General features: G+C 42.4%; 1 protein-coding gene across 3 annotated transcripts in view, besides 7 other annotated features; it reads right to left on the bottom strand.

Annotated features, from left to right (window-relative positions):
• The window catches only part of GOLM2 (golgi membrane protein 2), a 127,040-nt gene extending 105,403 nt beyond the window's left edge, over window positions 1–21,637 (bottom strand). For all 3 annotated transcript variants that reach the window (NR_157849.2, NM_138423.4, NM_177974.3), the window contains exon 1: window positions 21,000–21,637. Coding sequence is in view for 2 of the 3 variants with exons in the window: in NM_138423.4 (NP_612432.2) it covers window positions 21,000–21,326 (327 nt within the window). In the remaining variant the exon portion in view is untranslated. The remainder of the gene's footprint in view (window positions 1–20,999) is intronic.
• Window positions 9,591–9,885: a silencer, noted in NCBI's record as "tiled region #4287; K562 Repressive DNase matched - State 5:Enh". NCBI's record gives its function as "represses a minimal TATA promoter and a strong SV40 promoter by Sharpr-MPRA in K562 cells {active_cell/tissue: K562}" and the evidence as "EXISTENCE:reporter gene assay evidence [ECO:0000049][PMID:27701403]".
• Window positions 14,011–14,305: a silencer, noted in NCBI's record as "tiled region #4392; HepG2 Repressive non-DNase unmatched - State 16:ElonW, and K562 Repressive DNase matched - State 5:Enh". NCBI's record gives its function as "represses a minimal TATA promoter and a strong SV40 promoter by Sharpr-MPRA in HepG2 and K562 cells {active_cell/tissue: HepG2 | K562}" and the evidence as "EXISTENCE:reporter gene assay evidence [ECO:0000049][PMID:27701403]".
• Window positions 21,361–21,720: a silencer, noted in NCBI's record as "silent region_6394". NCBI's record gives its function as "represses an Ori minimal core promoter by ATAC-STARR-seq in GM12878 lymphoblastoid cells {active_cell/tissue: GM12878}" and the evidence as "EXISTENCE:reporter gene assay evidence [ECO:0000049][PMID:35858748]".
• Window positions 21,361–22,578: a biological region, named in NCBI's record as "Sharpr-MPRA regulatory region 13790".
• Window positions 21,531–21,825: an enhancer, noted in NCBI's record as "tiled region #13790; HepG2 Activating non-DNase unmatched - State 1:Tss, and K562 Activating DNase unmatched - State 1:Tss". NCBI's record gives its function as "activates a minimal TATA promoter and a strong SV40 promoter by Sharpr-MPRA in HepG2 and K562 cells {active_cell/tissue: HepG2 | K562}" and the evidence as "EXISTENCE:reporter gene assay evidence [ECO:0000049][PMID:27701403]".
• Window positions 21,672–22,578: an enhancer, noted in NCBI's record as "NANOG-H3K27ac-H3K4me1 hESC enhancer chr15:44579976-44580882 (GRCh37/hg19 assembly coordinates)". NCBI's record gives its function as "activates a minimal SCP1, AML or CMV promoter by ChIP-STARR-seq in primed H9 embryonic stem cells {active_cell/tissue: H9 hESC(primed)}" and the evidence as "EXISTENCE:reporter gene assay evidence [ECO:0000049][PMID:30033119]".
• Window positions 22,221–22,290: an enhancer, noted in NCBI's record as "active region_9335". NCBI's record gives its function as "activates an Ori minimal core promoter by ATAC-STARR-seq in GM12878 lymphoblastoid cells {active_cell/tissue: GM12878}" and the evidence as "EXISTENCE:reporter gene assay evidence [ECO:0000049][PMID:35858748]".

Genomic DNA, 25,024 nt, shown 5'->3' with positions numbered 1-25,024 from the left:
CAAGTCTTTTTAGTTGGTTCTCTTGTGAGTACCCTTTCATCCCTTGGTGATTTTAATTGCTCTTCTCTGGATAATTCTTAAACTTGCATCATGTAATTAATGCTGCACAAAGTAAATTAAGACTGTGACTATGCAGAAACCCAATAGCATAGTGCTTAAAAGAAGGGGCTCTGGCTGGGTGCAGCAGCTCACGCCCGTAATCCCAGTACTTTGGGAGGCCACGGCAAGCAGATCGCTTGAGGTCAGGAGTTTCAGACCAGCTTGGCCAACATTGCAAAACCCAGTCTCTACAAAAAATACAAAAATTAGCCAGGCATGGTGGCATTTGCCTGTAGTTCCAGCTACTCAGGAGGCTGAGGCATGAGAATCACTTGAACCCAGGAGGCGGAGGTTGCAGTGAGCCAAGATCATGCCACTGCACTCCAGCCTGGGCAACAGAGTGAAACTCCGTATCAAAAAAAAAACCAAAAGCTGGTGAGGGGGTGGGGCCTCTAAAATTAGATTGCCTGAGTCTGAATTCTGAATTCACTACTTGTTAGCTCTATTTCCTTGGACATACTGTTTACCTTCTCTGTTTCAGTTCTTTTATCTATAAAATGAGAAAATATTATCTGACTCATAGCATTGTCAAAAAGTTTATGCCAGAGATAAAGTGTTAACAACACTGGCTGGCACATGGTAAGGGCTTAATAAACATTAGCTATTACTATGTAAAGGAGTAGAATGTCTTCTTTACTATTTCTACAAAGTCCCACTGCTAAATTTGACTGGCTTAAAAACAACACAAAAGAAAAAAAAGTCTTTAGCTTTTAGCCTTTTTAGCTAAAACAATAAATTGGGAATCTCATAGAATTTTTTTATTTTATTTACTTTTTTCTCAATTACTTTTTTATTAAGGGATATTTGACAATTAAAGATTGTATATATTTAAGGTACACAATTTGATGATTTGATATGCTTATATACATTGATCTCCAGAACTTACTCATCTTGCATAACTGAAACTATGTACCCCTTGACCAACATCCCATTTGCCCCTTCCCCTAGTCCCTGGTAGCCTTCCTTTAAATATATGCTCAGAAGTGGGATTGCCAGATCATAATATAGTTCTATTTTTAACTTCTGAGGAAACTACATACTGTTTTCCATATGGCTATTTACATTCCCACCAACAATGTTCAAGGGTTCCCCTTTCTCCACATCCTCACCAACATTTGTTATCTTTCACCTTTCTGACAATAATCATTCTAGCAGGTGTGAGATAGTATCTCACTGTAGTTTTGATTTGCATTTCCCTGATGATTAATAATGTTGAACATTTTTCCATATGACTGTACCTGTTGGCCACTTGTATGTCTTCTTTCAAGAAATGTCTATTCCAGTCCTTTGCCCATTTTTAAAACAGGTTGTTCATTGTTATTACATTGTATAAGTTCCTTATATATTTTGGATATTAACCCTTATCAGATATATGATTTCCAAATATCTTCTCCTACTCTGTAGGTACCTTTTGACTCTGTTGATAGTTTTCTTTTGCTGTACAGGAGCTTTTCAATTTGATGTAATCCCATTTGTCAATTTTTAGTTTTGTTGCCTGTGCTTTTGGTGCACACACCTGCAGTCCCGGCTATTCAGGAGTCTGAGGTGGGAGAATCGCTTGAGGTGGGTCAAAGCTGCAGTGAGCCACAGTCATGCCACTGTACCCAGCCTAGGTGACAGAAAGAGACCTTGTCTCTAAAAAAAAAAGTTAAATATAGAATATGGCCCAGCATTTCCACTGCTAGACATAAAAGAAGTGAAACCAGGGACTCAAACAGATACTTGTACACCACCGTTTATAGAGGCATTACTCACAATAACTGAAAGAGGGGAAGAACTCAAGTGTTCATCAACAGATGAATGAAAAGCAAAACATGGTATATACACATAATAAAATATTATCAGCCATAAAGAGGAATGAAGTTCTGATACATGCTACAACATAAATGAATCTTGAAAACATTATGCTAGGTGAAATAAGCCAGATAAAAAAGGACAAATATTGTATAATCCTCCTATATGAGGTATCTAGAATAGACAAATTCATAGACACAGAAACTAGAATAGAGGTTACCACAGGCTGGAGGGAAGGGCAATGGGAATTACTGCTTAATGGGTAGAGGTTTTGTTTGGTTTGGGATCGTGAAAAAGTTCTAGAAATAGATGGTAGTAATCATGGTTACACAACATTGTGAATGTACTTAATGCCACTAAATTATACACTTAAAATGGTAAAAATAGTAAATTTTGTTATAGATGTTTTACCACAATAAAATAGTAATAACAATAATCATCATTATTCTGGCCCCAAATAGCTTTAACTCAGACATAATTTCCCCTACTTCTCAATACCATGTACCTTATATTACACTCTCCTATTCTACTGCTTGACCTTCTGTGAAGGTACAACATACTTTCCAGCTTTCCTGGCCTCATTTATGTTCCTCCTGTCCTTATCCCTTTCTCATTTTGTTAAATTACTAAAGATCACCTTTTCAGTGAATTATTTCGCTCTTGACTTCCTGAGGAAGTTAATCAGTTATTCCTCTGTATTCTCAAACCCCTTTGTAAGCAGCTTTACTATAGCATTTAATCATGCATTATGGATTATTTTTCTATGTGTGCCTCCCTCACTTCTTCAAAGAACGGGAATCTTACTATCTTTCTATCCCTATCACATACCACATGGTATTCAACTTTCCCAAATAAATGACTTATGCATATAATAAACTTTGAACAATCATAAAGCACTATATCAATAAATGGTTTTATTTCATTCTGCCCATTGAGAATTAGTATCATGTGGGCTGAACACGGTGGCTCACGCCTGTAATCCCAGTACTTTGGGAGGCCAAGGTGGGCGGATCACGAGGTCAGGAGATAGAGACCATCCTGGCTAACACTGTGAAACCCCATCTCTACTAAAAATACAGAAAATTAGCCAGGCGTGGTGGTAGGCTCCTGTAGTCCCAGCTATTCGGGAGGCTGAGGCAGGAGAATGGCGTGAACCTGGGAGGCAGAGCTTACAGTGAGCGGAGATCGTACCACTGCACTTCAGCCTGGGCCACAGAGCCAGACTCTGTCTCAAAAAAAAAAAAAAAAAAGAATTAGTATCATGTTAGTTTCCAGCTTATGAGACAAGTCCCTGATGATAAGCAGTATAACTTGGATACAGGCATACCTTGTCTTATTGTACCTTGCTTTATGCGTTTCTTATAACCCTGCATCGAGCAAATGTATTGGCACAATTTTTCCAATAACATGTGCTCACTTCATGTCCCTATGTCACATTTTGATAATTCTCAAAATATTTCAAAATTTTCTTTATTACATCTGTCATGGTGATCTGTGATCTGTGACCTTCAATATTATTATAATTGGGGGCACCACAAACTGCACTCATAGAGGACAGTGAGTTTAATCAATAAATGTTGTGTGTGTAAATAGAATAAACAACTTTATAGAAACAGAAAGTAGAATAGAGGTTGCCAAGGGTTGGGGAGACGATAACGGGAGTTACCATGGAATAACCATTCCCCCATCTCTCTTCCTCTCCTCAGGCTTCCCTATTTCCTGAGACAAAACGATACTACAATGACCTCTAAGTGTTCAAGTAAAAGAGTTGTATGTCTCTCACTTTAAATCAAAAGCTAAACATAATTAAGCTTAGTGAAAAGGGCACGTCAAGAACATAGACAGGCCAAAAGCTAGGCCTCTTGTGCCAAACAGCCAAATTGTGAATGCAAAGGAAAAATTCTTTAAGGAAATTCAAAGTGTTACTTTAGTGAACACATGAATAACGAGAAGGCAAAACAGCCTTACTGTTGCTGATATGGAGAAAGTTTCCATGGTCCAGATAGGTCAAACTAACCACAATATTCCCTTAAACCAAAGCCTAATCCAGAGCAAGGACTTAACTCTCTTCAATTCTATGAAGGGTGAAGGGTAAAGAAGCTGTACAAGAAAAGTCGGAAGCCAGCAGAGGTTGGTTCATGAAGTTTAAAAAAAAAAAGCAATCTCCATAACATAAAGGTGCAAGGGGAAGTGGCAAGTGCTGATGAAAAAGCTGCAGCAAGTTATCCAGAAAATCTAGCTAAGATCACTGAAGGTGGCTACACTAAACAACACATTTTCCATGTAAATGAAACAGCCTTCTATTGGAAGAAGATGCCATCTAGAACTTTCATAGCTGCAGAGAAGTCAATATCTGGTTTCAAAGCTTCAAAGGACAGGCTGATTCTCCTGTTAGGGACAGCTGGTGACTTTAAGTGGAAGCCAACGCTCACTTACCATTCCTAAAATCCTAGCTTTTAAGAATTGTGCTAAATCTGTTTTATCTGCGCTCTATAAATGGAACAACAAAGCCTGTATGATAGCACATCTGTTTACAGCATGGTTTACTGAATATTTTCAGTTCACTGTTGAGATATACTACTTAAAAAAAAGATTCCTTTCAAAATACTAGTGCTCACTGACAATGTCCCTGGTCACCCAAGATCTCTGATGAAGATTTACAAGGACATTAATCTTTTCATGTCTGCTAACAGCAACCCATGGAGCAAGGAGTAATTTCTACTTTCAAATCTTATTATTTAACAAATACCTTTCATAAGGCTATACCTACCATGATGTAATTCCTCTGATGGATCTGGGCAAAATAAATTGAAAGTCTTCTAGAAAGAATTCACCAATCTAGATGCCATTAAGAACATTTGTAGAGGCTGGGTGCAGTGGCTCACGTCTATAATCTCAGCACTTTGAGAGACAGAGGCGGGTGGACACTTGGGCTCAGGAGTTCAAGACGGGCCTGGGCAACATGGGGAGACCCTGTCTCTACTAAAAATAGAAAAATTAGCCAGGTGTAGAGGCCCATACCTGTGGTCCCAGCTACTCGGAGGCTGAAGTGGGAGGATCACTTGAGCTCAGGGGGTAGAGGTTGTAGTGAGCCGAGATCGCACCACTGCACTCCAGCCTAAGTGACAGATCAAGACTCTGTCTCAAAAAAAAAATTATAATAATTTGTGGCTGGGCACAGTGGCCATTAATTCCATCACTTTGGGAGGCCAAGGCAGGCAAATTGCTTGGGCCTAGGATTTTGAGACCAGCCTGGATAACATGGCAAAACTCCACCTCTACAAAAAATACAAAATTAGCCAGGTATGGTGGCATGTGCCTGTAGTCCCAGCTACTCGGAAGGCTGAGATAGGAGGATCACCTGAGTCCAGGGAGGTCAAGGCTGCAGTGAGCCATGAATTGTGCCACTGTACTCCAGCCTGGGCAACAGAGACTGTGCCTCAAAAAAAAGAACATTTGTGATTCATAGAAGAAGGCTAAAATATTAACAGGAACATGAGTTTGGAATAAGTTGATTCCAACTCTCATGAATGATTTTGAGGGGATTCAAGACTTCAGTGGAGGAAGTAACTGCAGATGTGGTACAAATAGCAAGAGACCTAGAATTAGGCTAGGCACGGTGGCTTATGCCTGTAATCCCAGTACTTTGGGAAGCCAGGGCAGGAGGATCACTTGAGTATGGGAGTTTGAAACCAGCCTGGGCAACATAGCAAGACCCTGGTCTACAAACCATTTTTTAAAAATTAGCCAGGAGTGATGGCTCAGGCCTGTGGCCCAGCTACTCAGGAGGCTGAGGTGGGAGAATTGCTTGACCCCAGGAGGTTGAGGCTACAGTGAGCTGTGATTGCACCACTGCATTCAGCCTAAGTGACTGAGTAAGAGAGAAAGAGAGAGAACTAGAAATAGAAGTAGAGCCTGGAGGGCTGGGAGCGATGGCTTATGCCTGTAGTCCCAGCACTTTGGGAGGCTGAGGAGGGCAGATCACTTGAGGTCAGGAGTTTGAGACCAGCCTGGCCAACCTGGTGAAACCCTGTCTCTACTAAAAGTACAAAAATTAGCCAGGTGTGGTGGTGGGCGCCTGTAATCCCAGCTACTCAGGAGGCTGAGACAAGAGAATTGCTTGAACCTGTGAGGCGGAGGCTGCAGTGAGCCGAGATCATGCCATTGCACTCCAGCCTTGACACAAGAGTGAAACTCTGTCTCAAAAAAAAAAAAAAAAAAAAAAAAAAAAAGAAGTGGAGCCTGAAGACGTGACTGAATTACTGCAATCTCATGATAAAACTTGAATAGGCCAGGCATGGTGGTTTATGCCTGTAATCCCAGGACTTTGGGAGGTTGAGGTGGGAGGATTACTTGAGGCCAGGAGTTCAAGACCAGCCCTGGGGAACATAGCAAGACCACATCTCTACAAAATTTTAAAATTAGCCAGGTGTGGCCAGGCACCGTGGTTCACACCTGTAATCCTAGCACTTTGGAAGGCCGAGTCAGGCGGATCACTTAAGGTCAGGAGTTTGAGACCTACTTGGCCAACAAAACCCTGTCTCTACTGAAATACAAAAATCAGCCAGGCCTGGTGGTGCATGTCTGTAATCCCAGCTACTCAGGAGGCTAAGGCACGAGAATTGCTTGAACCTGGGAGGTGGAAGTTGCGTTGAGCTGAGATCACACCACTGCACTCCAGCCTGGTGACAGGGCGAGACTCTGTCTCAAAAAAAAAAAAAAAAAAAAAATTAGCCAGGTGTGATGGCACAAGTTTGTAGTCCTAGCTGCTCCAGATGCTGAGGCAGGAGGATTGCTTGAGTCCAGAAGGTCAAGGCTGCAGTGAGCCATGATCATGCCACTGCAGTTTAGCCTGGGTGACAGAATGAGACCCTGTCACCAAAAAAAACAAACAAAAATCCAAGCTATGCTTATAACTCAAACTTTTTTTCATTATATCCCCATGAAGCTAATCCCAAGGTTTTGTTCTCTTCACTTAAACACTAAATTGAATCAGAAAAATATTTTTGAGTTTCTAAATGAATAAAATATTATTCTAGATCTACTATAACACGTTTCAAATAAAAGATATATTCTATGTATACTAGAAAGATGAGTTGACAAGCAGTAGTTTTACATCTGAATATTTTAGTTATGTCTTCCAGAAAAGGTAGTGCAATCAGATATGTGGATAATATCTGTGGTAGCCCTAGTACATATTTATGCACCCGTTGGTTCAAGAAGCAATACAAATTGCTAAATCAATCATCAAATATTTACTGAGTCCAGACATAGGGAATAGTATGAAATATTAAGTGTTAGATTTATACTAGATTTAGACTATTTATTTATTTATTTATTTATTTATTTATTTATTTATTGAGATGGAGTATTGCTCTGTCGCCCAGGCTAGAGTGCAGTGGCGCGATCTCCACTCACTGCAACCTCTGCCTCCCAGGTTCAATTGATTCTCCTGCCTCAGCCTCCCAAGTAGCTGGGACTACAGGCGTCCGCCACTACGCCCGGCTAATTTTTGTATTTTTAGTAGAGACGGGGTTTCACCATGTTGGCCAGGATGGTGTTGACCTCTGGACCTCGTGATACGCCCACCTCAGCTTCCTAAAGCGCTGGGATTACAGGTGTAAGCCACTGCGCCCAGCCTAGACTATATTTTTATAGTCAAGAAATTCACAGGCTGGATATGGTGGCTCATGCTTGTAATCCCAACACTTTGGGAGGCCAAGGCCGGCAGATCACTTAAGTCCTGGAGTTCAAGACCAGCCTGGGCAACACAATGAAACCCCATCTCTACAAAAAAAATAAAAATTAGCTGGGTGTGGTACTGTGCACCTGTAGTCCCAGCTACCTGGGAGGCTGAGGCAGGAAGCTCGATTGAATCTAGGAGGTGGAGGTTGCAGTGAGCTGAGATGGTGACACTGCACTATAGCCTGGGCAACAGAGTGAGACCCCATCTCAAAAAAAATAGGAAAGAAAGAAAATTCACAATATATCATTGGAAGACAAGAAAAAAACTAGAACCACTAGGCGTGGTGGCTCATGCCTATAATCCCAGCACTTTGGGAGGCCGAGGTGAACAGATCACTTGAGGCCAGGAGTTTGAGACCAGCCTCGTCAACATGGCAAAACCCTGTCTTTACTAAAAATACAAAAATTAGCTGGGTGTGGTGGCATGTGCATGTAGTCCCAGCTACTTGGGAGGCTGAGGCAGGAGAATCGCTTGAACCCATGAGACAGAGGTTGCAGTGAGCCAAGATCGTGACACTGCACTCCAGCCTGGGCAACAGAGTAAGACTCCATCTCAAAAAAAAAAAAAAAATTAAATGTAAAAAAGAGAGTCAATCAATGGCTTCCTATTGCCCTTAACATGACTCACAAATCTTTTCACAATCTGAATCCAGTCTTGTAGTGCAACATCAAATATTATCACACTCATTCTAGCTCCCTCATTCCACATGGTGAACTTTTTTTTTTGAGATAGGATCTCACTCTGTTGCCCAGCCTGGAGTACAGTGGTGCCATGACCTTGGCTCCTAAGTTTTTTTTTTTTTTTGAGAGAGGGTCTCCCTCTGTAGCCCAGGATGGAGTGCACTTGGCATGATCTTGGCTCACTGCAACCTCTGCCTCCTGGATTCAAGTAATTCTCCTGCCTCAACCTCCCGAGTAAATGGGATTATAGGCATGTGGCACCATACCCGGCTGATATCCTGTGCTTTAAAATATGCAATAAAATAAAATATGCAACATTCTACATCTGGAACCCTCTTTTCATCTCTCCTGAGCCTCTTATCTCAAACCTCTCACTCAATCTTTGCCTCATTAAATCCTGATCTTTTTTTTAGGACTCAACTAAAACTCTCAAGAATGTCATCCCTAAGCCTCTAAAATAGGTTAGGTCTTCCCCTCATAGCCCCTGCTCAAGGGTAAGTTCCATAGTCAATGTATACCATATCTGTCTTGTTCACTCATTCACTATGTGATATGCATGCAGCATAGTAACTGATCCAAAATAGAAACTTGAACATATTTGTTCAATAAAGAAATTAAAATGGGGTTAAAGATGGAAGCACAGCATATGTAAACATTGAGTGGGAAAATGATAGGATAACCAAGATAAATGGGTATTATTAAAGCTAAAGGGAAGAAGTTTCAAAAAGGAGAGAAAGGAGAGATCATCAGTATAAAATGCTATAGAGAGTCAAGTTTAAGAGTGAAAATGTAGCCAGGCATGGTGGCTCATGCCTGTAATCCCAGCACTTTGAGATGCTGAGGCGGGAGGATCACTTGAGGCCAGGAGTCTGAGGCTGCAGTGAGCTATGAGAGGCCTTTGTTAATCATCAAATGAGAAAAAATGTTCCCCTAAGTTGAACTTAAATTGGATATAGAAAATTGAAATTGTAAAAGGAAAGCAAATCATTTTATATTAAATAGAAAAAGCTTCGTGGATGTAAGTTTTGAAGTCATCCTCAGGGAAAAAGTGTAGTTTGGAAAAGAGAAAGAATCAGACATTAAAAGCATCTGAGCAAAAGCTCTGTGGCAACATTGTTCAAAAGAGGAACTACCTGGCCAGAAACAGTGTAAGAAAATTAGATAAAGTTAATTAAGAACAAGAAAGAGAGCCTTGAAGCACTGTGAGAAACTGAAATTACTGCATGCCCAGTCTGTCCCTAGAAAAAAGCCTGGACTTTGAATTCAAGGAAACTTTAACTCTCTTTTGAGGAAGAGGCTAACATGGGGAACTTTAAGGTCTTCAACCAAAAATTGTAAGGACTAGTTCCTCCTGTTTAATGAGGTCATAAGTCAAAAGGTACTCCCTGTCACTTCAGGAGACAGATGTTACATGCCACACTATAAGAACTGTTTGTTTGCCTCTATGGAGTAAGTAAAAGGGAGCTCCTTGAATGTCCTTTTACCTTTTTTCTGCACAACTAAATCCTAGTCATCATTTTTCAAAAAGCAGCTTGTTTTATGATCTTCATGGAACCTCCTGAGATTACTCAGTCCTTTATCAGGAGAGTAAGAAAAAACAGAGAAATACAAAAATAAGAAAGGGAGACAAAGAAAAGTGAAAACTTGTTTCAAAGATCATTTTAGTGTATAGCACAGTAAGTGCCCAATATATTTAATAAATTTTTGTCAACTGAATTAATATACTTGGGTTTCAATAGAATAATACAAGACTAAACTTCTTCCTTCCTTCCTCCCTCCCTTCTTCCTTTCTTTTCTTTCTTCCCTCTCCCTCTCCCTCTTTCTTCCTCTTTCTCTCCTTCCCTCCTTCCTTCCCTCCCTTCCTTCCTTCCTTCTCTTTCCTCCTCCCCTCCCCTCCTCTCCTCTCTTCTTTTCTTTTTTCCTTTTCTTTCTTTTTTTGAGACAGGGTCTTGCTCTGTTGTCAGGCTAGGGCACAGTGGCACAATCATAGCTCCCTGCAGCTTCAAACTCCTGGGCTCAAGTGATCCTCCAGCTTAAACCTCCCAAGCAATTAAGACTATGGGCATGTGTCACCATGCCCAGCTTTTTTTTTTTTTTTTTTTTTTTTTTTGCTATGTTGCCCAGGCTAGCCTCAACCTCCTGGCCTCACATGATCCTCCTGCCTCAGCCACCCAAAGTGCTGGGATTATAGGCATGAGCCACTACACCTAGCCCCAAATTTCTTCAAGATTAGCTATACCAATGCACCCATGAAAGAAAGGAACCAATATTATTAAATGTCAAGCTTTGTATGGGACAGGCCTCTAAATATTTTACTTCATGAATCCTCTTCATTTTATGAGTGAAGAAACAGGCTTAAGGAGAGGTAACATAATGGTAGAATTATAAACTCAAGTCTGTTTGACTCCAAAAACCCTTGTTCTTTCCAGTGAACCATACTGCCACACAGTATATATTATATAAGAGTAGTTATCTAGTCAATTTGGGAGGCCGAGGCGGGCGGATCACCTGAGGTCAGGAGTTCAAGACCAGCCTGGCCAATATGGTGAAACACTGTCTCTATCAAAAATGCAAAATTTAGCTGGGTGTGGTGGTGCGTGCCTGTAATCCCAGCTACTCGGAAGGAAGAAGCAGGAGAACCACTTGAACTCGGGAGGTGGAGGTTGCAGTGAGCTGAGATCGCGCCACTGCACTCCAGCCTGGGCGACAGAGCGAGACTCTGTCTCAAAAAAAAAAAACAAAAACAATTATCTAGTCAAAAAATCAAATTAACTTTTAAGTATGCATTTGTGTATTTGTTTCCTAGGCTGATATAACAAAGTGCCACAAACTGAATAGCATAAAGCAGAAATGTATTGTCTCACAGTGCTAGAGGATGGTTTCAGAGGCTAGAAGTCCAAAATCAAGGTGTTGGCAAAGCCCTGTTCCCACTGGAGCCTCTAGGGGGAGGCTCCTGGCTTCTGGCTTCTGGTAGCCCTGGGCATTCCTTGGTTTGTGGAAACATAACTCCAATCTCTGCCTTTATCTGCCATGCGGTCTCTGCAATGTGTCTGTGTGTCTCTGTGTATTCATGCACCTGGTGTTCTCCCTAATTCTATTTTTTTTTCTTATAAGGATACCAGTTATAATGGAATAGGGGCCACCCTAATCCAGTATGACCTCATTTTAACTTGATTACATCTGCAAAGACCCTATTCCCAAACTAAGATAACATTCACAGGTGATTTAGACTTCAATATATCCTTTTAGGGGATACAAATCAACCTCGTACATTTTGTAACAGCACTAAGAACAATTTTTCCCGCAGGAAAAAATTTAAAACATAGTCCTTCCTCAAGGAACTTAAAATTTCGTTGAGAAAACGAAGTTCACAAACAATAAGCTATTAGTAAAAAATGAACAAAATAAGTTAATGAAGCTCAAACAATAAATGTAAATGGTGTATAAAGAAGGAAAAGCATGGCTGGGAGCAGTGGCTCACACCTGTAATCCCAGCACTTTGGGAGGCCCAGGTGGGTGGATCACCTGAGGTTAGGAGTTCGAGACCAGCCTGGCCAATGTGGTAAAACCCCATCTTTACTAAAAATACAAAAAAAAAAAAAAAAATTAGCCGGCCATGGTGGTGGGTGCCTATAATCCCAGCTACTTGGGAGGCTGAGGCTAGAGAATCACTTGAACCTGGGAGGCGGAGGTTGCAGTAAGCTGAGATCGCGCCATTGCACTCCAACCTGGGCGACAAGAGCAAAACTCCATCTCAAAAAAAAAAAAAAAGAAAAAGAAAAGAAGGAAAAGCATATTCCAGGTCAGAAGTCCCAGGGGGCTTCATAGTGGACATGGATCAGAAGCTGGATAAAAGATTGGTAGAATAGGCCAGGTGTGGTGGCTCATGCCTGTAATCCCAGCACTTTGGGAGGTCAAGGTGGACGGTTCACAAGGTCAGGAGTTCGAGACCAGCTTGGCCAACATGGTGAAACCCCATCTCTATTAAAAATACAAAAAAATTTAGCCAGGCCTGGTGGTGCGTGCCTGTAATCCCAGCTACTCAGGAGGCTGAGGCAGGAGAGTCGCTTAAACCCGGGAGGCGGAGGTTGCAATGAGCCAAGATTGCGTCACTGTACTGCAGCCTGGGCAACAGAGCAAGACTCCATCTCAAAAAAAAAAAAAAAAAAGGCCAGGTGCGGTGGCTCACACCTGTAATCCCAACACTTTGGGAGGCCAAGGCGGGTGGATCATGAGGTCAGGAGATCAAGATGGAGACCATCCTGACTAACATGGTGAAACCCCTTCTCTACTCAAAATACAAAAAATTTAGCTGGGCCTGGTGGCGGGTGCCTGTAGTCCTAGCTACTCAGGAGGCTGAGGCAGGAGAATGGTGTGAACCCGGGAGGCGGAGCTTGCAGTGAGCCAAGATCACACCACTGCACTCCAGCCTGGGCGACAGAGCAAGACTCTGCCTCAATTAAAAAAAAAAAAACAAAAAAAAATTGGTATAATAAATATACAGAAAAGAGGCAAGAAACTAAGAGTCAAACAGCAGGAACAAAGGCACAGAAACAGGAATTAACATGACACAGAAAGGCAGGTGGGAAGGCAAAAGTAAGCAAAACAATCAGCCTGAAATACAATTTGGGTCAGGAGATAGTGGGAGACAAAGGTAGCTAGAGCCATTCTATGGAAGACCTTAAAGATGAGACAGCAGAATTCTAACCTGATGTAGTCAGTGAGTCATACAGCCACTCTGAAAATAAGGTTTGAGGAAGTTCAGGCTGGCTTCACAGGAGAACTGACAAAAAGAAATGGAGACCAAGGAAAGGGGACTAGTTAGGGATCTGCCAAGTTCTCTATTCTGCAGTCAGAATGACGTTTTTTTTAATTCGATCAAGTAACTCCTCTGCATGTTGAAGCACTCAATATGATACACTGAAGGAATCAAAGACAACACCAAATTTCTAACCTCAGTCTTAAATAACAGTTGCATGGGCATCATTTATAGGAACCAAGAAGGTAGGAAAGGGATATCGTTTGGAAGAGTTATCAGTTTTGATTGGTTTATGAATAATTTGAGGTAGAAATTACAGTTAAAAGTTGGCCAGATTATGGCTGGTGAGGCAGAGGCAAAGGCAGGAATTATCATGTGCAGCATATTAGAACTGTAGAAGGTTGATACTCAAATTACAGAAGAACAGGCAAGCTCTAGGGAGTCAGCTAAGACACCTATGGGAGGAGCCAACTAAGCCTAACTGGAAATGAACCAGGAAACTGAAAACAAGCAAATAACAAAAACAGTCAGACATTCAGGAGCAAAGGGTGAGGCAGGTAGGCTAGGGCTGGGACCAGATCTTGGGCAGGAACACAGACAGAGTCCCATCCTGGAAAAAAGGCAGAAAAGAAATAAGGAAGTAGCTGTAGAATAACAATGTAGTAGGCACTGTTTTAAGAATTTTAATCAATTTACTCAAACCTCTCAAGAATAAGAGAGACTACTATTATATTCCAAAATTTTCCCCCAAAAAGCATTTTTTTGTAATACGCTTCTCATCCTCCTTTCTGACATATGACCTTTTCCCCATTCAACTAAAGGCATAGGCTGCCTCAAGGAAAATTATGGTTGTTAAAGGGAAAAAAGGTCATTTACTATTCAGCTTCAAACCTCAAAACTGATGTGTGTGTATGTGTGTGTATGTGTGTAATAAAACGACAATTTTGAGGACTTTTTCTACATTCTAACAGCTCCTTTTATTTATCAAGAGCTTGACGTGCCACAGCTGGACCACATAGCTTTAGTATGAGCTACAGTTTGCAAGAATCCAAGTTTAGGAGCCAAGCACAGTGGTGCACACCTGTAGTTTCAGCTACTCAGAAGGCTTAAACAGGAGGACCTTCACTTGAGACCAGGAGTTCCTGGCTGTGGTGTGCTATGATCACACCTATGAATAGCTACTGCATTCTAGCCTGGGCAATGTAGTAAGACCCCATCTCTTTAAAAGACAAAGAGAGAGAGAATAATAATCAAAGTTAAGAGACATGCCCTGTACTGAGGAAAGAGAAATAAGGACTTTTCTGATAAAAGAGGAAATAAAAGGGTGTCTGTGTGTGTGTGTGTGTGTGTGTGTGTGTGTATGTGTGGTGGATCTCCCTTGTTCTAAGATGAACTGTGTTTCCCCCAAATTCACATGTTGAAGTCCCAGCCTCCAGGATCTCAGAATGTAACTGTATTTGGAGACAAGGTCTTTAAAGTGCTTAAGTTACAGTGGGTCTAATCCAATATGACTCGTATCCTTTTAAGAAGAGGAAAAGACACCAAGGATGTGTGCATACAGAGGGACTATCATGTCACAATAAAGCAGCAAGAAGGTTGCCATCTGCAAGCCAAGGAGAGAAGTTCAGAGAAAAACAACCCTGCTGGCACCTTGGTCTTAGACTTCCAACCTTCAAAAATGTGAGAAAATAAATTTCTGCTGTTTAAGCCACCTAGTCTGTGGCATTTTGTTATGGCAGCCCTAGCAAACTAATACACCCCTCCAGGCTGAAACCCTTTAGAGGGAAGTTTAAAAAATCAGAAAGTTTGAGGGAATCTCAGAGAAGTGGGGGTTGTTTCTCACTTCTTTGGACAAGACAGGAGCAACTTAAAGCTCCCTTAAAGAATTTCCATGTTCAAGGCCGGATGTGGTGGGTCATGCCTGTAATCCAGCACTTTGGGAGGCCAAGGTGGGCAGATCACTTGAGGTCAGGAGTTAAAGACCAGCCTGGCCAACATGGTGAAACCCTGTCTCTACTAAAAAATCAAAAATTAGCCAGGCATGGTGGCATGCACCTGTAGTCTCAGCTACTCAGGAGGATGAGGCAGGAGAATCACTTCAGCCCGGCGGGTGGAGGTTGAAGTGAGCTGAGACTGCGCCACTGCGCTCCAGCCTGGGTGACAGAGTGAGGCTCCATCTCAGAAAAAAAAAAAAAAAGGAATTTATGTGTTTAGTAACCCAGGTAACAGACTGGAAGTGACAGAATGGCATAATAATGTGAAAGAAACCAAATATCACCTTTCTGATTCCTCTGGAGAAAGGATTCCTTGATTTCCAAAGATAACCTTATAGTAGCAACGAGCATATCTGCCAAGCAGACCTTGGTTTCTTTTTTTTTTTTTGTGAGACAGAGTCTTACTCTGTTGCCCAGGCTGGAGTGCAGTGGCACAATCTTGGCTCACTGCAACCTCTGCTTCCCAGTTCAAACGATACTCCTCCCAAGTAGCTGGGATTACAGGCGCCCCCCACCATGCCCGGTTAATTTTTGTTTTTTTTTGTGGTGGTGGTGTTTTTTTTTTTTTTTTTGAGATGGAGTCTCGCTGTCCTCCAGGCTGGAGTGCAATGGCGTGATCTCAGCTCACTGCAACCTCTGCCTGCCGGGTTCAAGCAATTCTCCTGCCTCAGCCTCCCAAGTAGCTGGGACTACAGGTGCGCACCACCATACCCGACTAATTTTTTGTATTTTTAGTAGAGACGGAGTTTCACCATGCTAGCCAGGCTGGTCTCGAACTCCTGACCTTGTGATCTGCCCACCTCGGCCTCCCAAAGTGCTGGGATTACAGGCGTGAGCCACCGTGTCTGGCCCAATTTTTGTATTTTTAAGTAGAGATGGGGTTTCACCATGTTAGTCAGGGTGGTCTTGAACTCCTGACCTCAAGAAATCCACTAGCCTCAGCCTCCCAAAGTGTTGGGACTACAGGCGTGAGCCACCGTGCCCAGCTGCAGACCTTGGTTTCTAATGCCATTCTCCAATAAAAGGAACCAAGGTTCCTTGGAGAAATGGTTGACTCTAGGGCTGGAGTAGGAAACGTATAGATAGGCCTAGAGCATCTAAAAGTACCAAAAAGTAAGAAAGGGGTATGTCACAATGAAACTGGGTGTAGGGTATGTGGAAATTCTCTGTACTTTCTGGCACTATAAAAGTAAGAAGGGGATACAGGAGTTAATGAAGGAGCTCTCCAACAGCCAGAGCCAGAACAATTTGAGCAACAAAAAAATAAACTAATATTGGATTATAAGCCAAAGTACAAAATAAATATCCATGAGTCCATACCGATACAAGTAAATTATTAAGTTAATAAATGAGGGAGAAGAGACAAATCTCCTTTGCAGAAGAATTCCATATAGTTTATGTTGATACTCTGTCCTTAAGGAGGAAAAACATAACTACCCACTCATTAAGTGAGGGTGAACATACTTTCTTCCAAAGTGTACAGTATGGAAACAGATTTTTTTTAAGAGTACATTATAGTGGAGAAACCTGACAAGCACTATCTCACGCCAGGTGATAGAGGTTAACATAAGTAGTGATAAATCATTTTGAAAAACATACCCATGTTATGATGTGTTGAGATTGGTACTTTACTTCTGTGGTCTTTGTCCGAAAACCCACAACTCCAGTCTAATCCTGAGAAAAGACTCAGACAATTCCCAATTGAGGGACATTCTATATAAAACACCTAATCAGTAATCCTTAAAATTGTCAAGATTATCAAAAACAAGAAAAGGTCTAAAAAACAAGGAAAGGCTGAAAAGAAGCTTCAGAAGACATAATGTCTAAATGTAACGTAACTCTGGATGAGATCCTGGAATTAAAAAAGGACAGCAGGCGAAAACTGAAGAAATCTGAATAAAGTACGGACTTTCATAATAAGATATCAATACTGGTTCATTAATTGTGACAAATGCATCATACTTATGTTAAGATGTTAATAATAGGGAAGACTGGGTGTGGGGTATATAAAAACTCCCTGTACTATCTTTGCAATAATTTTCCAGATCTAAAACTGTTAAGTGGCCAGGTATGGTAGCTCACACCTGGCACTTTAGAAGGCCAAGGCAGGAGGATCACTTGTTTAGTTTTCCAGATCTAATTTTCCAATAATTTTCCAGATCTAAAACTGTTAAGTGGCCAAGTATGGTGGCTCACACCCAGCACTTTAGAAGGCCAAGGCAGGAGGATCACTTCAGGCCAGGAACTGGAGACCAGCCTGGACAAGATAATAAGACCCTCATCTCTACCAAAAAATAAAAAATTAGACCATCATGGTGGCATGCACCTATAGTCCCAGCTACTTGGGAGGCCGAGGTGGGAGGATCGCTTGAGCCCAGGAGTTTGAGGCTGTAGTAAACTATGATCGCACCACTGCTCTCCAGCCTGGGTGACAGAGCAAGACCCTGTCTCAAAACAAACAAACAACAATAACAATAAAAAAAACCCTGAAAAACTGTTAAGTTTAAAATACAGAGACCAAGACTACCCTTTCTACTAAGCAGCTCAGAGAGTCCTCATTAACCCCAAGAACAGACATTCACAAGCAGCCCAAGAAAGTTGTTATAGCCAGCTCAAAATACAGAAGTGGCACACCAAGTGCTGTGGCACACACCTAGAATCCCAGCACTTTGTGAGCCCAAGGCAAGATCACTTGGAGCCAGGAGTTTGAAAGCAGCCTGGGCAACATAGCAACACCCTATCTCTACAAAACTAAAAAAAGAAAAAACTTTTAAAAATATACAGAACTAGCCGGGTGCGGTGGCTCACGCCTGTAATCTCAGCACTTTGGGAGGCCAAGGCTGGTGGATCACGAGGTCAGGAGATCGAGACCATCTTGGCTAACATGGTGAAACCCCATCTCTACTAAAAATACAAAAAATTAGCCGGGCATGGAGGTGGGCGCCTGTAGTCCCAGCTACTCAGGAGGCTGAAGCAGAGAATGGCGTGAACCCAGGAGGCGGAGCTTGCAGTGAGCCGAGATCACACCACTGTACTCCAGCCTGCTTAACCGAGCGAGACTCTGTCTAAAAAAAAAAAAAAATATATATATATATATATGTATGTATACACATATACACACACAGAACTGACATTCAATAAGAGATACAGTCTTGTGAGCCAGCTGCATAAAATATTAGCCAAACACTTAAAAGTAGTTAAGATACCCAGGGCAATATTTCCCAAACTAGTGGGCTTTGCTATATTATTCTGTGCCATAATAGGTAGGCCATGAAAATAGTAACCTGTGATCAAATAAACTAAACAAGACTGAGTTAAACAAAATTGAATAGCCTTCTTTATTAATGGATTTCTCAGAGCTTTTATATTCCAGCAGGCATTATGAATTCCAAGAGGAGGATACACTAACATTTCCCTCCAAAAAAGGTTTTCATTTTTTTCTCCTCACCACCTAAGAAATATTACAAGAAGGGTATTCTGTTTAACACTACTTTGGGGAATACTGCTCTTATGGGAGAGCAAAGGCTCAATAACAGAGTCCCTTACTAGGTGACTGGAAAGAAAAAATAAATCCAGCAAAGAATATAGTGAAGAAGATAAGACTGGAGAGTCCAGTATAACAGAAGCAAGAAAGAAAATAGTTTCCAAATAGCTAGAGACAATCAACAGGATCAAACTACTGGGAGGTCAAATACAGTAAGAATAAAAATATTCTTTGGTTTTGACTAGGAAGACTGCCATTTGTGACCTTCAAGAGAATAGTTTCAAAAAAGGGGAGGAAAGAAAGATGGCAGACATTTTAAGATTAGGATGGTTATGAAAAAATAGGTAGATGGAACATTTGTAGACCATCAATAATTTGACTTTAGCAATGAAAGTGAAAAAACAAATGGGTTGGTTGGGAGAAAGGAATATACAGATTTTTTTTCCTTTACTGAGAACAGGGGACACCCACATACTGTTGAAGGTAAAAAGTGAAACAAACTGAAAGAGACAGTTCAGTAGAGCTGGGCAAGGTGGTGCACACCTGCAGTCCCAGCTACTCAGAGGCTGAAGCAGGAGGATCACTTGAGCTCAGGATTTCAATGCTATAGTGCATCATGCCTGTGTAACAGCTACTGCACTCCAGCCTGGGCAACACAATGAGACCCTGTCTCTTTAAAAAAAAAAAAAAAAAAAGAGGCTGGGCATGGTGGCTCACACCTGTAATCCCAGCACTTTGGGAGGCTGAGGCGGGCGGATCACCTGAGGTTGGTAGTTCAAGACCAGCCTGACCAACATTGAGAAACCCCTTCTCTACTAAAAATACAAAATTAGCCAGGCGTGGTGGTGCATGCCTGTAATCCCAGCTACTCAGGAGGCTGAAGCAGGAGAATTGCTTGAACCCCGGGGGGGCGGAGGTTGCAGTGAGCTGAGATCACGCCATTGCACTCCTGCCTGGGCAACAAAAACAAAACTCCGTCTCAAAAAACAACAACAACAACAACAACGACAACAACAAAAAGTCCAATGGATGAAAGAATGGAATCAAGAGTATTAATTACAACAAGAGACTTTCCTTTGAGACCAGAGAGAAGAATGTGAATTGTAATGCTCAACCATGCCAAGTAGGAAGACCTTACTTTAATACTCCAAACTTTCATGGATTTCTACCTACTCTGCCCGAGAGTTTTTCAGTCTTTAGAGTTAAGCATGCAGCGCACATATAAATGTACTGATTCCTTGACCCTATCATAGCATGTCTATGTTATGGTGAAGAGGAGGGGGTTATAGGGAAGCACTTAGCTGAGGGCCTTAATCTTCATGAAATAAGAAAGCCAGGTAGAGGCTGTCAACAGGAAAGTTAGAAGCTCACAGACAGTTTAATTCATAATGACTTACCCTTAAGTGATTTTGATATGCAAAGTAAAACTTGTAATTATAATGGGCATTTACACACAAAAATGTGAAGATTACCAAAGAAGTGTATAGAAAGGCATCTACTATCCTGCCCAGAAATTTTCATAACTCTACTATACCTACAGAAGTTGCTAAGTCATAAACTATTAATATAGTTACCAATGAGCTAATGAAAACAAGGATTATTTAGTAGCAAGTATGATTACAGTTCAATTTTAAACTTTTTATATTTAAAACTTTGTATAGTTTTCCATCTGCATAAAACACCAACCCTAATAGCAACTTAGCTATACAAAATTTCATTCTATTTTCTTTCAATGAAGACACTGACATGACATTCCACTGCTTAAAATTTATTTTCAGATTCTAATCTTTTGGCTGATTTCATTAACAATTCAAATTGAGTAGATAATGATGGATCAACTATGTCCAAGACACAAGTGTGTCTCACATATAGCTCGAGGGCCCATCTATCATAACATTTTGATCACAAAAAGGCAGTCATAGCTGATTATTTAGTTATTCAATACATCACCCTATAGAGATTTTAAAAGTCACACAGCTTAAAAAATATATGATGACTACCATAAGTAGAGGAGTCAGAGGCGGCTTCGTTCTTTAAATAACGAAATTAATATTGATCAGTGTGCACGGAATAAAAATGAGACAATAACCACACCAAACCTGGCAGTCGCCAGATTTGTGTGTCTTTGAAGGTAAGGGGGCCACACAGGCCAGATGATTACTACTGCCAACTCACCAGCTGAGCTTAGAGAATAGGCAGCATCTGCACACAGTCCACTCTTGAGAACCAGAATTTACAGTCATTTTTTTCTGGCAGGGACCAGAGAACGTGGCACTGATAAACTGGGAAAAGTCTGACAGAAACAGGGTTGTTGGGGGTGAAAGGAGCCTTCAGGACTGAAATACTGGAAGGCATAAGACAACAGCTAGCGGATTAACATCCCGCCCCAGACCCCGGGGAGAAAAGAAACCATGGGGTTTGAAGAGAAAAGGGTCGTCCTTACCTTGTCATCCTCGCATCTCTTCCCGAGGCCCTCTCTGGCCTGCAGCCGGCTGCTGAGGCGGCCGTAGTCGGCCTCCTTCTGGTCGATCTGTTTCTTGTGCGTGTCCACCAACAGCAAGAGGTCCGAATTGCGCTTTTCCAGCCGCCCGCGGGCCACTTCGGTGCGCTGGACCTGGCCCTGCAGCTCGGCCACCTCCTCCTGAAGCAGGACGTGGCGGGAGGAGATGCTCCAGTAGTTGAAGGCGAGGACGACGATCACCACCAGCAGCACCACCAGCACGAGAGAGGGCAGGCGGCCAGCCCGCCGGTTGGCCCCGAAACCCACCATGGGGCCAAATCGGGCTGTACCCTAGGGGCCTCGCCGCAGACACCTGCAGGCAGAAGCCCAGGCCTCGGCTGGAGTTGCCCGGCGGACACGGCCCCAGGGCCGGCCGAGGGAGGAGGCGGGCTTACCGGTCGGCTGCGAGCCGGAGAAGGGGGCGGGGCCGCAAGCCGCAGGTCCCTCCCCGCCCCCCTCCTCAAATCAGGCCAAAACGCGTTCCGGAGGCTTTGAACCCGACCCTGCACCTGCCCAAGGGAACCGGGAGAACCCAGCTGCCAGCGTCCCCCAAACCCAACACCTCACGGTTGGGAGGCGGGGAAAAAAACCGGAAAGGGGCGGATGTACCCTGGCCCCACCCACTAGCTGGGGCCGGGTCGTCTAGGGGACCATTTCCGAGTTTCCGTCGACACCCCTCTTGTCGCGAGAACGTTGCTTCCTCTCGTCTCTCTCTCTCTCTCTCTCTCTCTCTCTCTCTCTCTCTCTCTCTCTCTCTCTCTCTCGCTCTCTCGCTCTCTCGCTCTCTCGCTCTCTCGCTCTCTCTCGCTCGCTCTCTTTCTCTCTCTCTCTCTCTCTCTCTCTCTCTCTCTCTCTCTCTCTCTCGCTCTCTCTCTCTCTCGCTCGCTCGCTCTCTTTCTCTCTCCCCGCCCAGAGTTTTCTCTGTCGCGTAGGGTGTTGTGTTAATTTTGGCGGTCTCAGATGTCTCAGGTACCTGGGTCGGAGTCCTTTCTGTTGTTATCTACTGGATTCCCTTGATTCAAGGCCTAGGGAGTTCCTGCCCTACACTGGCCCTCGCGAAAATATTTGTCTTTGAGGACGTCTGGGGCTGCGACCGCGGAATAGAAAAAAATAGTAGGTGAGCTGCTGCCAAAAAGGAGCGACTAGAAAGGTTTTGTACTTGCTTCTGTAGAAGGGGAATTTCTCTTTTGTGCTAATGATGTGGAAAGAAAAAACAAAAAGACTGTAAAATAGCGATGCCCTAAACATAATGGAGAAAAGCGGGAGAAACCAAGCTTTAGGACTGAAAGGGGTGGTGCCAGTCTCGTTTCCTAGGTTACTGCTTTCACGAACCGAAAGAATTTCAGAATGTGGCGAGCTCCAATTTTTAAACGCACTGCTGCTTTTGCCTCAGCTGGGCTTCCAAACAGAAAGTCCAGAAGCTGCCCTCGATGAATCGTAACTAATGCACTGTTACTGCCAGCGAACACATTCCGGGTTAGAAATAATAGCTCTAACAAATTGTTTTGCGCGCCTAGTCTCATATTATCTTCTCAACAACGCAATTTTACAGATGAAGAATCCAAGACACATAGATGTTTGGGAACTTTCTCTTATCTGGTTTTAAATAGGCTTGAATCCAGATCATTGAACTCTAAACACCAGTGCTGTCTGCATATAGCAGATTGTTTATATGTTAAGTGTGAATTTCAGTAGTGCAAAAAAAAAAACAAAACCTGCCTCTTTTTTTTTTTTGCATAATTATTTTGTCCGTGCATAGAGAAATAAAAAGGTACTGGCTCTAACCTGTTTAAGGAGAGGATGGGGTTGCCTTATTTTTCAGACCTCAGGTTGAAGAACTTCCATGAGTATAAAACCTCAAGAAGGAAAAACCTTGGTATTTTTTATTCGAATCAGAGTGATATGATTTTGAGGCAGGAAGACTTGTCATCTTAATTATTCTGTGCTTCCTATCCTCAAAAATTATTTCCCTAAGTCCCGTAGTAGCGTAGAATTATTGCATCTTCAAAGAACAATGATTACTCTCTCAGATGCAGTACAGAAAACCACCACCAAAATTATTAATACTTGGTTCACATCAGAAGTGAGCTCTGGCTTCATAAGATCTAACAAATCCTCTCCACTCTCAGATGACAAGCCGACTTTGGCAAAAGGAAGCAAAGCAAAAATGAGAAATCATTAACTATAAAGAGCCTTTCCATCTCTGCTTTCCTCAACTCATATTGGCCTTGCTCTGCTCAACCAGCAATCGAAAATTATTCTAGGCCGGGCGCGGTGGCTCACCCCTGTAGCCTCAGCTACTCGGGAGGCTGAGGCAGGAGAATCACTTGAATCGGTGAGGCAGAGGTTGCAGTGAGCCGAGATCGTGCCATTGCACCCCACCTTGGGCAACAGAGTGAGACTCCGTCTGAAGAGAAAAAAAAATTATTCTATAAAGTTATGTTAACTACTTAAGATTTACTGTTCCCACGAGTGTTTTCATTTTTACATAGGCAAATCTAAAAGTATAAATATTGTACAAAACACATACACATACATTTCCTCAACAGATGTTTAATAGAACTATTGGGTACCATTATTCCATTTTACAGGTGCAGAGGTAACTTGCCGAAAGTCATTTATGTAGTAAATGGCCGAGATGACCAATCCTCTTTCCACTCTTCCCCAGAGGATTTTTTTTTCCTTTTTTTTTTTTTTTTTTTTTTTTTTTTTTGAGACGGAGTCTCGCTCTGTCGCCCAGGCTGGAGTGCAGTGGCGCGATCTCGGCTCACTGCAAGCTCCGCCTCCCGGGTTCACGCCATTCTCCTGCCTCAGCCTCCCGAGTAGCTGGGACTACAGGCGCCCGCTACCACGCCCGGCTAATTTTTTGTATTTTTAGTAAAGACGGGGTTTCACCGTGTTAGCCAGGATGGGCTCGATCTCCTGACCTCGTGATCCGCCCGCCTCGGCCTCCCAAAGTGCTGGGATTACAGACGTGAGCCACCGCGCCCGGCCTTTTCCATTTTGATGGTTGTCTCATCAAGCTGTTCCTCCTACTGAATACAAACCAGATATTAAGACAGTGTTTAAGTGCCCTCCCATATGTAGTTCTGAGTTAGACATTAAACAAATTAAGGTAAAAGTCAATTCCTTAAACCAGGTAATCAAAGTTAACATCAACAGTGATGTCCTGTTGATAGTATGTATTGGTGATACAATATGATGATTGTAGCACTCTGTGTGGTCTTCTTCACAAAGACTCATAACCCTAGTCTACTCATGAGAAAAACATCTGACAAATCTCAGTGGAAGGACATTCTAAAAAATACTTGACCAGTATTCCTCAAACTTGTCAAGGTCATCAAAAACAAGGAAAATTGGAAAATCTTTCATGGCCAAGAGAAGCTTAAGGAGACATGATGATTAAATGTATCCTGGATGGGATCCTGGAACACGAAAAGGACATTAGGTAAAAACTAAGGAAATCTGAATAAAGTATGGATGTTAGTTAATAATAATATATCAGTACTGATTCATTAATTGTGACAAATGCACCATACTAATGCAGGGGAAACGGTGTGGGATATATGGGAACTCTACTATTTTCACAATTTTTCTGTAGATCTAAAGCTGCTAAAAAATTATTTTTAAAAAGTCCATTCCTGTCTTTTAGAATATGTTATCAAGTATAGACATAAATATGATGTAACTGTAAAGGCAGTGTAATCATAGATAAATAATGTTTCTTGTGGTTTTTTTGTTTGTTTTATTTTGTTTTTTAAAAGATGGGGTCTTGCCCTGTCACCCAGGCTGGAGTGCAGTGGCTCGATTTCGGATCTCAGCTCACTGCAGTCTTGACCTCCCCAGCTCAAGTGATCCTCCGGCCTCGATCCCGGAAGTAGCTAGGACTACAGGTGCCCGCCCCACGTGCAGCTAATTTTTGTATTTTTTGTACAGACAGGGTTTTGCCATGTTGCCCAGGCTGATTC

Source organism: Homo sapiens, chromosome 15 (assembly GCF_000001405.40).
Source record: "Homo sapiens chromosome 15, GRCh38.p14 Primary Assembly".
Taxonomy (NCBI): domain Eukaryota; kingdom Metazoa; phylum Chordata; class Mammalia; order Primates; family Hominidae; genus Homo; species Homo sapiens.
Note: the sequence above shows the minus strand (reverse complement) of the source record. Positions and strands in the feature narration are given on the sequence as shown.